Source organism: Homo sapiens, chromosome 2 (genome assembly GCF_000001405.40).
Source record: "Homo sapiens chromosome 2, GRCh38.p14 Primary Assembly".
In the NCBI taxonomy this organism is placed as follows: Eukaryota; Metazoa; Chordata; class Mammalia; order Primates; family Hominidae; genus Homo; species Homo sapiens.
The window spans coordinates 43,002,656-43,016,914 of NC_000002.12; positions in this window are offsets into that span (position 1 = coordinate 43,002,656).

Consider the following 14,259-nt stretch of genomic DNA (forward strand, 5'->3'; position numbering starts at 1 on the left):
ATGAGATGATGTATACAAAATAACAGGCAGGTAAGCTGCCTAAAAGTTTATTTTTCTTCCCCCTCAAACACTCTGCCTGCTCTTCACTCAGCCATCACCACATGAGTAACAATATATAAAGTGAACAATATACTACGCATATGTTGTATATACATAATGAAAATAATAATATACAATGAATAACATTATAATGTGAACCAACCAGTTAAGATTTTCTAAGGTATTCATAATTAGGAAATGGAAGATAGTATTCTTTGTCTACCCTAGCATGCTTTTTCTGTAATTACTTTTTTCCCTTAAACTAAGAAGCATAAAGACTTGCTATCCACCAATGGTTAGGATTTAAAGAAACGCAAACACTTGGGCATGGCCAGTTATTGCCATTACTAAGTTTCTGCTTAGTAGAAATTAATAACTGCAGAAGCTAACTCTGTTTCTTACTGATTTAAGAATTTCTCCAGCAACTGTTCTCAGGGCTCTAGGGAGCAATGGGCCCCTTGTAGCTAGCTCCTCTTGTGCTGTCAGCCATAACTGCCTCGGGAGGAAGATAGTATCTGTGAGTCTGTTCTAATCCCAGGAAAGGTCTTAACTCCTTGCACACTACGTTCTCATCTCTACTTTGCACACCAAAGAAGGCCTCTGTTATGGACTGAATGTTTGTGCCCCTCCAAAATTCATGTCACAGCCCTAACCCCTCAGTGTGGCTGTATTTGGAAATGGGGCTTCTAAGGAAGTAATTAAGGTGAAATGCAACCAGAAGGGTGGGGCCCTAGTCCCATAGGACTGGTGTCCCTATAACAAGAGGAAGAGATATGAGAGATCTCTATTCTCTTTTTTTTTTTTTTTTCTTTTGAGACAGAGTCTCGCTCTGTCGCCCAGGCTGGAGTACAATGGTGCGATCTCAGCTCACTGCAACTTCCGCCTCCCAGGTTTAAGTGATTCTCCTGCCTCACTCAGCCTCCCGACTAGCTGGGACTACCGGCGCATGCCACCACGCCCAGCTAATTTTTTGTATTTTTAGTAGAGATGGATTTTCACCATGTTAGCCAGGATGGTCTCGACCTCCTGACCTCATGATCCACCTGCCTCAGCCTTCCAAAGTGCTGGGATTACAGCCATGAGCCACTGTGCCCAGCCAAGAGATCTCTCTTCTACTACATACAGGAAAGGCCATATGAGGACACAGCTAGAAGGCAGCCATCTGCAAGCCAGGACAAGAGTACTCACCAGGAACCAAATTGGCAGCACCTTGATCTTGGACTTCTCAGCCCCCAGAACTGTGAGAAATAAATGTCTGTTGTCGAAGCCACCCAGTCTGGTATTTTGTTATGGCAGCCTAAGCAGACTAACACAACCTCTTTCTCCCCTGCCTTGTCTGCCCAGGGCAGCTTTGTTGCAGACCTACAGTAGTGCATGACTTGCATGCACAAGACAGGAGGTCACCCTGTGGCTCTTTCTCATCAGTGGGTCTCCAAACTGACACATTTTCTTTCTTTTCTTTTCCTTTTTCTTTTTTTCTTTCTTTTTTTTTTTTTTTTTTTTTTTTTTTTGAGACTGAGTCTCACTCTGTCACCCAGGCTGGAGTGCAGTAGTGCAATCTTGGTTTACAGAAACTTCTGCCTCCTGAGTTCAAGCAATTTTCCTGTCGCAGCCTCCTGAGTAGTTGGGATTACAGGCACCTGCCACCATGCCCGGCTAATTTTTGTATTTTTAGGAGAGATAGGGTTTCGCCATGTTGGCCAGGCTGGTCTTGAATTCCTGACCTCAGGTGATCCACTCACCTCGGCCTCCCAAAGTGCTGGGATTATAGGTGTGAGCCACCTCGTCCGGCCCAAACTGACATTTTATAGGGATTTTTCATCCTTAAAGTGATCTACTCAGCTCATTTCTTCCAAATCTGTATTTTACAGCACACTTTAAACTGGTGTCGCAGAGTTTTTGAGTGGTGATGGCAGCTGCCCTCTATGTCTGTGGTGTGCCGGCCCCTCATGCTGGGGAAAGAGGGGACGTGACCCTACCCTCACAGCAGGCTGGCCTCCTTTCTCTCCCAGAGCTGCCGTCCCTGCTCTGTGCTAACTAGCCCAATCCTAGCCTACAGCACCAGCTTGGGGTCTAGCCCACGTTTACCACACTTTAGCTCCCAGCTTGGATGACCAGCTGCCTGTGATTTACCCATTTGTGATACTGATTTCCAGAGGGGCCACCTGTGCTCAGTACCTGCATGACTTCTCTCCTCCAATCCTCTATTTAACCACCTTAAGTAGTTTCTCCTGTCTTCCTCATTTTATAGATTGCGGCTCAGTCAGACAAAATTCCTCTCTCAGAATCCGCTGGTGGAGAAGGAGCTGGGATTCACACCCAGCCTCCTGGTAATAATCTGCATTTCTCCTTCAGCCTTCAGGGCCTTGCCTGTCTACCCAAGAGTGATCCCCGCCTTCCCTCTGTCTCACTCGCCCTGTCCCCCCAGCTAAGTGCAGATGTTCACAGCTCTCTATTTTTAAGCACATTCCACTAGAAGTTCAGCAACTTGAATCCCCCCAGCACCTACGACAGAGCCTGCATATTTAGGTGAATAAATGAACTATTCTTGTCCTAACTAGACTTCAAGTCCTAGGAAGCAGAATGGCTATGCCTGGTTTCCACTCCCGCACCATAGTACCCAGCATAGCACCAGAACCGTGGGGCCTCTTCCCCAGCCCTTGACACTCCCAACCCTGCCTTCAGCTGCCGGAACTGACTTTTCCCATGATTGCTAATATTTCTTCCTTTTTTTTTTTCTCTAAATCAACATTAGCTTTGCTAGCTCCCTACCTTCCACCTGATAAGAATGGGGTACGGGATCTGTACGAACTTGGGGTGTGCTTTTCTCGCCTTGTCAAAACAGCAGCTCCTATCTGGCTGGCGATGGGCTGGGAGCCAGACCCCAACAATGGAGCCTTGTGAGCCGGCCCCGGGGGTGTGCTGGGAGCCCACGGTTGAGCACACACACAACCCTTCCTGGTGCCACCTTCTTATCTCCTGCCACCAAGCCCTTGCCAGTGGTGGGACTGTAACCCAACCCCCTGTAATTGCATGTCCCAGATAGAACATTCCTGGGCTCAGGCCACGGTTAAACATTGACTTAGGGTGCTGGGGGCAGTCATCACAGACTGTAGGTGCTCCTGATGGGGGAGGCGCTAGCTGGGTGTCCACCACTCCCCTCCCAGTGGTCCTGGACTAACTGAGAAAGCCACGGCACAGAGCAGGCAGGCTCAGCTGCCCACATCTTTGAGTCAGTGTGCTGGAGGAGCCGCGGGCCTGTTCAAAAAGAATCATTTCTTTTCTCCTGCCTGCCCTCTGCCTACCTCCCACTCTCCCTAGCTGCCTCTTCGGATTTCTCCAACCTTCTCATTTCTGCTTCTCCTTCTTGTCTTCCTCTCTCCTATCTTCGATCTCAGGTCCTCTCCCTCCTTGGGCCTGGCCTGTCTCTTCTCGTCTTCCCTTGTCCTGGGGCCCTTTCCCATGTAGTGAGCCCAGATGTGCCCAGGCAAAGGGGCTCTGCTCTCTCTTCTGCACCCCTCTGCCTCTGGCCTCTCTGGGAAATGGAAGGTGGGGTGGAGGAAGCAGGTGGCTTTAAGACCAGTGCCTCCCTCTGACAGGGCGGGGGGTCAGCTCAGCCGGGGCTGGTGGGGCCGCCCCTCTTCCTGTGCTTGTGTGGGGTGAGGTGCTGGCCCTGCCCTCCTCCCCAATCACTAGGGTCAGACGGTCGATTCTTCTTCCTGCCACCTTATGCACAGGGAGGCATGGCGCTGTTCCCCAGGTCTCACAGGGAGTACAGCAGGACATGCCCGGGATGCTTGTGTCTCATACCTCGGTGGGGCCTCTTTGCATTGGCACCCTGGCTGCCCAACCCACTCCCCAGCCCACTCTCAACCTAGGAGACCCTGTCATGGGTGGGGACTTTGTGGATGCTCTGCCGCGCCATGGGGTATCTCCTGCCCCCAGCACAGAAATCCTTTGCAGGCCTCCCAAAGCTATGCCCAGGGTGCCCCATAGCCTGCTGCCCTCAAGGAGTATGGGCTGCAGGGCCCAGGGCACCCCCACTCCCTGGGACACCCCTGGGGAGGGTTCTGATGCCAGGGCTCCTTTGCAAGGGGTTGGCACCTTTGCAGAATCTCCCAAAGAAGGAGGCTTCAAGCTTTGAAACTCCTCACTACAAGGCCAGGTTGGGCTGACCATATACACAGCTCCCTCAGCTGATGCCCTGCTTCCATTCCCACGCAGACCTTTTGTGCTTCAGGTTAAGGGTCACAGGCAGAAGGACAGGCCCAGGGGCATACAGAAAGGGCCTTGCCTTGCAGCACCTACAGTGAGCCTGAGAGGCCCCCAGAGTTAGGAAAAGGAGAATATCCAGCAGGTGCAGGAGCCAGGGAGCCAAGGAGGAAGGGAGCAGGCCAGAAGGGTGCTGAGGCAGCCTTAGGCCTCTGGGCAGCCATGGCTCCAGCCACTCAACTAACTCCGGGGTTGGGATAAGGTGGGCCTCAGAGCCAGGGCTTCTGTGGTGCGCAACAGGAGGCCCCATGGAGGACCCACACTGCTTTCTAGGCCACTTGTATAGAGCCTGTGGAGTCAGACTATTCAGATTCAAATCCTGGCCCTGCACTTATTAGCTGGGTGGGTTTTGGCAAGCCACTTTCTTAACATCCCAGAGTCTCAGTTTTCTCATCTGTAAAATGGATATAATAAAAGCACGTGTACACTGGGTTTTACATAAGAGTGCAAGAGACAATGCAGAAGTACTTGTTCATCATGCTTCAGAGGGCAGGTAGCTCTTCTGATTGTCATTATGGTTAGTAGTATCAGTAATAGAGTTGTGTCGTGGTTATATTACTGAGAGGGCTCACAGACTATTGTGTTGCTTCCTTGACCTGCAGTGCTTTCTCTTTTAATCACCCTAGTGTTTCCAAGCCCCCCAGGAGCTCTAGGACCCTGCCCAAGGACTCCCTGTATCCTGCCCTGAGTTGTTTTCCTGGTGTCCTATACCAGGGCTACTTGCTCTAGGCCCTAGACCACCCCCACCAGATCCCACACCAACCCTCATGGTCCCCAGATGGACTTAGGATGACTCTTTCTCCCCAGATGCACAGTTAGCTCCATGGAAAGGGCTTCTCCCTCTTTGTTGCCTCTAGTGCAGGTTTGGGGACTCAGCCTGTGCTATGGGTTAGGGGAGTGACTCAGTGTATTGAGTACCTCTCACTGTGTAACAAATTTCCTCAAAACTTAGCAGCTTAAAACAACAATAAATATGTATCATCTTGCACTGTTTCTGGGAGTCATAAATTTGGGAGAAGCTTAGCCAGAGGGTCTGCTCAAGGTCTGTCATGAGGTTGTAGTTAAGATGTCAGCTGGGGCTGCAGTCATCTGAAGGCTCAACTGGGGCTGGAAGAGCTGCTTGCAAGATGGCGCACTCACATGCCTGCCACTAGTGCTGGTTGCCGGCAGGAGGCCTCTGCTCCTGGTCACATGGAACTTTCTGTAGGACTGCTTGAGCATCCTTATGACATGGCAGCTGGCTTCCCCTGAACTAGTGATCTGAGAGACAAGGTAGGAGCTGCAATGTTTTTTATTATGACCTTGCCTTGGAAGTCACACATGGTCATTTCCAGAATATTCCAACGTTTCAACAGGGCAACCCTATTCAGTGTGGGAGGGAACTATACAGGAGCATGAATACCTGCAGACATCATATCAGGGAAAAGATGTTGAAGAGAAATGAAAGGAAATACAACTTCAGTTCTGAGAGATGGCAAACTGAGGGTGCTGGGGGGCAGGAGGACATGGAGGTAGGCATCTGCCACCCTGAATAGTACACAGACGTGGCTCTGACAGCTTCCCACATGGCCCTGGGTGGCACTGCCTGTGTCTGCCAGCCCCACCACTGGCCAGCGACAGATTTGGAACTAATTATGTAGAATTACATTTGATGGGGACATGGGCCATCGTTACCAGCTGGGCAGTGGGCCAAACTGTGGACAGAGCCCCATCATTGTGGGTTTCAGTTAGAGGGAGAGGAAGGTGAGCCTGATGCATGACGGCCTCTTTGCAAGGATCCCAGAGGAAAGAGCTGTCTCCCAAAGAGTGGAGCTGGTGGTCATGGAAAACAAAGTTGAGCAGTGATTGTATCCATCTATCCATTAATTAATTAATTAATTCACCCATTCATTCATTCATGCACACATTCATTCTCCAAGTAGTTATTGAGTGCCTCATCCATTCATTCATTCATGCACACATTCATTCTCCAAGTAGTTATTGAGTGCCTACTATGTGCTAGGTTTTATTAGTAAGAATAGAAATGAATGCAAAATGTGTTGAGGCCCCTGACAGTTTGTGTCTTTGGGCCGTACACTGCATATTCAAAGGGCAGCTCACCTCCTTACTCTCTGGGGGAAGGCAGAAGCTTGGATGCAGAGTAGGGGTGCTGTAGGGAAGAGGAGAGAGTAGAAAGAGCTATCTACCAGGTTGACTGGGTTGCCCCAACCATGGAGTGCTGGATATGAAAGGTGAGCTGAATATGGGAGCCATGTTGTTGTCCCAGTGGGGAAGCTGGGGACTGGGGGGACCTTGGCTCCTGTGGTTCCATGATGTCACCCCATCCTGCTCCTGGATCATTTGGGACATGACCCCATCTCAGCATCTTGATATCCAGTGCTGCCATATCCCCGTTGTGCAGCTGGGGAAGAACCAAAACTAAACCCCAGCAGCCCTGGCTTTGTATCAGGACCCATGGAAACTATATAACCATCTTCCACTTTCGTCACCTAAAGCAGGGGTTCCCAAACTCCGGGCCATGGACTGGTTCTGGTCCATGGCCTGTTAGGAACTGGACTGTGGCTTGTTAGGAACTCACAGCAGGAGGTGACTGGTGGGTAAGTGAGCGAAGCTACATCTGTATTTACAGCTGCTCTCCATTGCTTGCATTACCGCCTGAGCTCTGCCTCCTGTCAGATCAGCAAAGGCATCAGATTCTCATGGGAGCACGAACCCTATTGTGAAATGCACATACAAGGGATCTTGGTTGTGCACTCCTTATGAGAATCTAATGCCTCATGTTCTGTCACTGTCCCACATCACCCTCATATTGGACCATCTAGTGGCAGGAAAGCAAGCTCAGGGCTCCCACTGATTCTGTATTATGGTGAGGGGGCTCCCTGCCCCCGCCAGGTTCTGAGGAGGAATGGACAACTGGAGCAATGGCTGGAGATGGACATGGAAGCAAAGAACACAGGCATAGGCTCCCAAAAGTCTTCACTTTTGCTTTTGTTCTTGAGCCTTTAGCTGAGCACATGGCTCTTCCAGGTCATTGAGATAGCGTGGCTAACTCTGGCCAATGAGACATGAGTGGAAGTGCTGTGGGGGCTTTCCACCTCCCACCGGATGGATAAACCTCATGGTAGGAATCACAGCAGCTCTGGGGGACCCTGTGGTGTACTCCCCCATACCCCATTCAAAATAAGCGCTCCTTCCCCCAACTGCTAAGAGTATTGTCAGCTCACAGCTCAGCTGAATCTTTCCCCAGAAACTTGTCTCCCAAATGTAGGCCTCCTTCCTGGAGGTACCACACGGAGCCTAAATACAATGACTGCTGGGGTAATAAGCTCAGCACCTTGCCTTCACTGAGACAACTTTCAAGACCACCCCAGCTGCAGAGCTCCTGTGGGTGGCCAAGGCCTGTGTTGTGACTTTGTCACAGCTCAACTCTCCCCTGTACCCAGCCCTGTTTCTCTCATGCCTTTCCCTCATTCCATGAGGGATGACCCCAACAGATCTCCCAATAAAACCCCTGTCTGCAAATCTCTGTCTCTGAGGCAGTTCCCTGAGAAATCCAACCTATGAAAGATGCTGTCTTTCTTAGACTCTGCGATGGAAGTAACATACTGAGAATCATGAATTAATATGATATGAAAAGCCTGAGTCCTCCAAAACCACCAAACCACGGTATCAGCCCTAGACCATCAACTTACATGGTAGAAAAACAAACTTCTACTTTGTTTAAGCCAATGTAGTTTGAGGTCTTTTTGTGACAGCAGTCTAAACCATATTCTAATTAACAATGAATCGTGTATCTAGAAGTAGAGTGGTGGTGTGGCAAAATTCTAAATATGAGGAATGAGGGATATTGTCAGACAGTGGGCAGGTATTTCAGGTTGGAAGGCTGGTGACTCATATTACGCAAAGCATTTGGTAACACTATCTCTTATGATATCTTGGAAGGCAGTTCACATGCCTACTGAGCTTCCAGCTCTGGGCGAGGTAGCTAGAAAAGGTCCAATTTTTGGTAGGTATTGGCTTCTTTCCACTTGGTACAGGGCTCTGTAAGACAAAGAAACTCAGAATAGAGCCAGGAGTTTGCAAGCAGAGATGAAAGTGAATGCAGCCTTGCTGATGGAGCTCTTCCTGCCTGTGGCCAATCATCTAAGTTGACTGAGAGTCCTGTATTTTGAGCTTCCACATGTTGAAAAAGCCAACTGCTTTTGTGCTGTGAACTGAAGCAGTGGTCTCAAGTGGCTCCAAAGAGGCAGCTGTACCAGGAAATAAGACTATGGACCTAAGCCTTCCCCAATCAGCTCAGTTAAGAATTCCCTGACAGACAATGGGCGTTAGCCCAGCAGTCAAGATCAGATTGACAGTGTTGCTTTTTCACTCAGACCTACTGTGACAGATAACCTCAGAAACTATCATTAAGTCAAGCAGTGTGAGATGGACAGAGCACAGAGTATAGAGATGGCCAAACCAGTAAATAATATGCATATATGTGTCTGCAGACTTCAGAACTGTGTCTACCAGCTTTTTGGCTGAGTTAGTTGCTCATGGAACAGATTGGAAACCAAAAGAGTAGAAGTATACTGTACTGTTTAAAAAAAAAAAAAAACTATAGTGACATATAGTTCACATACAATAAAGCTCATACTTATTTTACACACTCTTAAAGTATACAATTTAGTTGTTTTTAGTACATTCACAGTTGTGCAACCATCACTGCTACATAGTTCCAGAACATTTTCATTGCCACACAAAGAAATCCTGTACCTTTTAGTAGTCAGTCCCAATTCCCTTCCCTCCACTCCTCCAGCCCCTGGCAAGCACTAATCTACTTTCAGTCTCTTTGGCTCTGCCTATTATGGACATTTCATATAAATGGAATTATATAACATATGGCCTTTTGTGTCTAGTTTCTTTCACTTAGCACAATGTTTTCAAGATTCATCCATGTTGTAGCATGTATCATTATTTCATTCCTTTTTATAGCTGAATAATATTCCATTGTATGGACAGACCACAACTTGTTTATCTGATCATCAGCTGATGAACATTTGGGTTGTTTCCACTTTTGGCCTCTATAAATAATGTTGCTATAAATATTCATATGTAAGTTTTTGTGTGGATATGTGTCTTCACTTCTTTTGGATATATATATGCCTAGGAGTGAAAGCACAGAGTTATAAGGTAATTTTATGTTTATCCCCTTGAGGAACTGCCAAACTGTTTTCCAGAATGGCTGCACCATTTGACATTACTACCAGCAGTGTGTGAAGGTTCCAGTTTTTCCTCACTCTCTTCAACACTTGTAATTATTTGCCTTTTTTATTACTGCCATCCTACTGGGTGTGGGGTACTTTCTCATTATGGTTTTAATTTGCATTTCCCTGATGGCTAATGATGTTGAGCATCTTTTCATGTATTTACTGGCCATTTGTTTATCTTCTTTGGTGAAATGTCTTTTCAAATCCTTTGCACACTTTATTTTATTGAGACAGGGTCTTGTTCTGTTACCCAGGCTGGAGTGCAGTAGCACTCATGGTTTACTGCGGCCTCAGCCTCCCAGGCTCAAGTGATCCTCCCACCTTAGCCTCCCTAGTAGCTGGGACTACAGGCATGTGCCGCCACATCTGGCTAATATATATATATATATATATATATGTATATTTTTTTTTTTTTTTTTTTTTTTTTTTTTTTTTTTTTGGTAGAGATGGGATTTTGCCATGTTGCCCAGGCTGGTCTCGAACTCCTGGACTCAAGTGATCTGCCAGCCTCAGCCTCCCAAAGTGCTGGGATTATAGGTGTGAGCCACCACACCTGGCCCCTTTGCATATTTTTAAAATTGGATTTTTTGTCTCACTGTTGAATTATAAGAGTTATTTTTATATTCTGGATACAAGTTCCTTATCAGACACAGGATTTGCAAACATTTTCTCCCATTCTGTAGGTCATATTTCTTACTTTCTTGCTGCTGTTCTTTGAAGCACAAAAGTTTTTTACCTGATGAAATCCAAAGTATCTAGTTTTTCTTTTTTTGCTTGTGCTTTTGGTGTCATATCTAAGAAACCAATGTTTCATCTTAGGTCATGAAGTATTCTAGTTTTAGCTCTTACGTTTAGTTCTAGGATCCATTTTCTTTTTACTTTTGGATCCATTTTCATTTACTTTTCTTTTTACTTTACTTTTATTTTTCTTTACTTTTTACTTTCTTTTTACTTTACTTTTATTTTTCTTTACTTTTTACTTTCTTTTTACTTTTTACTTTCATTTACTTTTTACATTTAATAACTATGTTATGGCATTTTTTCCTCTTATGAGCCATTTTGAGTTAGTTTTTATATGATGTGAGGTAAGGATTCAATAATACTTTTTGAATGTGAATATCCAGTTGTCCCAGCGCTATTCTTTCCTCCATTGAATTGTATTGACACCCTTGCTGAACATCCAGTTAACCATATATGTAAGGGTTCATTTTTAGAGCTCAATTCTGTTCCACTGATCTATATGTGCAGGCATATCCTTATACCAGTACCACACTGTCTTGATTACTATAGCTTAGTAATAAGTTTTGAAAGAGAGAAGTGTGAGTCTCCCTACTTCGTTCTTTCTTTTCAGGATTGTTTTTGCTATTCTAGGGATCAGCTTTCAGTTTCTGCAAAAAAAAGGCAGCTAGATTTTAATAGGGATTGCATAGACCCTGTAGATCATTTCCAGGAATATTGCCATTTTAACAATATTAAGTCTTCCAATCCATGAACACAGGGTGTCTTTCCTTTACTTAGGTCTTCTTTAATTTCTTTTAATGATGTTTGATGTTTTATAGTTTCCAATGTACAAGTCTTGAACTTCTTTTGTTAAATTTATTCCTAAGGATTTTGTGTTTTTCAATATGATCATAAATAAAATCATTCTTTTAAATTTAATTTTTGTATTGTTATACTAAGTTTTTGAAGAAGATTAATTAATGAAAGTCTGGAAGCCTGGCCTGCACAACTATGGGATTGCTCAACCCCTAAAGCAAGCCCTGAGCTTTCAAACCTGCACCAGCAGGAAATGGGCTATAAAACCCATACTCTCGCCACCCTAGCACACCATGTTCTCCAGTGGCCTCTTCAGATGTGGCCTTGGAGGACAACAAACAAGGAAGGACCTCCCAAAAGGCAGAGCCAGGAGCCACAGAGAATAATGGATAAAGGAAATGTTTCCCAGGAATTAGTACTAAGGAACTTAGTTCCCTGGGAGGCAGGGAATCTTTGGAATTCTTGCCCGGTGGGATTTACTTTATGCTTTGTGCCTGCTATGGGTTCTCCATTCGTCCCTTTCCAAATGGCAGTTTTAATTGTGGTTATCCTGTTTCTACATCTCTTGTATATTGCGTATGTGTTGTTGGCTGGTGGAGGGGGACAAATACATGACTTATCTTTTAGTTTATTCATCACTAGGCTAATATCTGAACTTCATATAAAGATCAGACAATTACCAAGAAAGCCTGGACCTTGAGACAGTTGCAGTAACGGACAGGACCTGTGGGCTTCATGCTTGGGTAGGGGGGATTAGCATGTTCCATGTTTGGGAAGAGAATGTGCATTTATTTGGGTAAACAAAGGTGCAGAGTATAGTGGAGATTGCTAGCTTTTTGTCAATATCCATTCTCCTCTTCTTCAATAGTGGTGGAATACTCATCTGAACACATTTAACAGCCAGCTAGAAACTCTATTTCCTAACTTCCCTCACAATTAGGTATGTCTCATGACCAAGTCTGAGGCAATGGAATGTGAGCGGACATGATGTGTGCAACTTCCAGGCCATGCTCTTCAAAGGAAGAAGGTATATCCTCTTCCTCTTTTTCCCTTTCCATCTGGCTGGAAGGTGGAAGTGCTGTCAGTGGCTAGAGCAACCACCTTGGAGGGAAACCTCAAGTTAAGGGTGGGAGAGCAACAGAAAGAAGCAGCTGTCTTATCACTCTGGTTCTGCCTTCCCAGACTCCTGCAGGAGCTAACCTTCTGCCTGTTTGCAACACTGTCTTTTGGGGTCTCTTTGTTACAGCAGGCTAATTTTTGTTTATTTATTGATTGATTGATTGATTGATTTGTTTGAGACAGAGTCTCCGTATGTTGCCCAGGCTGACGTGCAGCAGTGCAATGTCAGCTCACTGCAACCTCCACCTCCACTGCTCAAGTGATTCTCCTGTCTCAACATGCCAGTACCCGAGATTACAGACGCGCATCACCATGCCCGGCTAATTTTTGTATTTTTAGTAGAAATGGTGTTTTGCCATGTTGCCAGGCTGATCTCAAACTCCAAGCCTCAGGTGATCCACCCGCCTTGGCCTCCCAAAGTGCTGGGATTACAGGCATGAGCCACCATGCCTGGCCTGCAGCCTCACTTCTGCTCTAATAAAAATTTGTTTCTCAGATGGGAGAGACTGGAGCATGTTTGTGTGCTGATGGAAATAATCCATGAGAGAGGGAGAGATTGAGAAGACAGAGCGAGGGGATAACCAAAGGAACAAAGTCCTTGAGAAGACAAGAAAAGATGGGACTCAGGAAATAAGACATGGAATTTTTCTTTGACTGAAGAAACTAGGATGCTTCTTCCATTGTGATTGAAAGAATGAGAAAAGATTGGTACAGACGAAGGGAGATTGTGGATTCTGTGGAGAGACAATGAGGAAGGATCAGTGTATTTGCAAGAGAGTAATGTAATGATAACCTATGGAATCTTTATTTTGTTGGACTCCCCACACCTACCCACAGCACTGGTTCCCTGATACACTCATCATTGACCCATGCATGGTTTACTTTTATTTAATTAGCTATTAATTTTTTCTTTTTATTTTTAGAGACAGGGTCTTGCTCTGTCGCCCAGGCTGAAGAGCAGTAATGTGACTATTGCTCACTGCAGCCTAGAACTCCTGGGCTTAAGCGATCCTCCTGCCTCAGCCTCCAGAATAGCTAGGACTACAGACAAGTACCACCATGCCTAGCTAATTAAAAATTTAAAAAATTGGGGGTTGGGGCAGGGCATGGTGGCTCACGCCTGTAATCCCAGCACCTCCAAGCCTGTCTGCTTCCTGGCCTGGGTTCCCTGCCACAGCTCTCTGTCCTCATGGAGCTCTCCAGTCCATTGGTACCTTCACTCCTTCTCCATCCATCAACCCCTCCTGCTTTTACTTCTCTCCTTTCCCACTAAGATTCTGTGGCTCATGAATGAATCAACTGGCAATATTCACGCAACAGAATATCTTAAGCAGGCTAAACACATGAAACAATGTGGATGAATCTTAGCAAGATACAATTAAGCCAAATTGTATCTTCCAATTGGCTTTCCAACTGGAAGGCCGAGGTGGGTGAATCACTTGAGGTCAGGAGTTCCAGACCAGCCTGGCCAACATGGGAAAACCCTGCCTCTACTAAAAATACAAAAAGATTACCTGGGCATGGGGACACATGCCAGCTTCTGGGAGGCTGAGGCACGAGAATTGCTTGAACCCGGGAGGCAGAGGTTGCAATGAGCCAAGATCGTGCCACTGCACTCCAGCCTGGGTAACAGAGCAAGACTCTGTCTCAAAATATATATAAACTTTTCTGATATAGTTTGGATGTTTATACCCTCCAAACTGCACATTGAAATGTGATCCCCAAAGCTGGAGGTGGGACCTAATGGGAGGTATTTGTGTCAAGGGTGCAGATCCCGCATGAATGGCTTTGAGTGTAATGAGTGGTAAGTAGTTCACGTGAGATCTGGTTTTTAAGAAAAGCCTGGCACCTTCTCCCTTCTCTCTTGCTTCCCTTCTTGCCATGTGACACACTTGCTCCCCACTCTGACTTCCACCATGAGTAAAAGCTTCCTGAGGCCTCGGCAGAAGCTGAGCAGATGCTGATGCCATTCTTGTAAAGACTGTAGAGCTGTGAGCCAAATAAGCCTCTTTTCTTTATAAATTACCCAGTCTCAGGTATT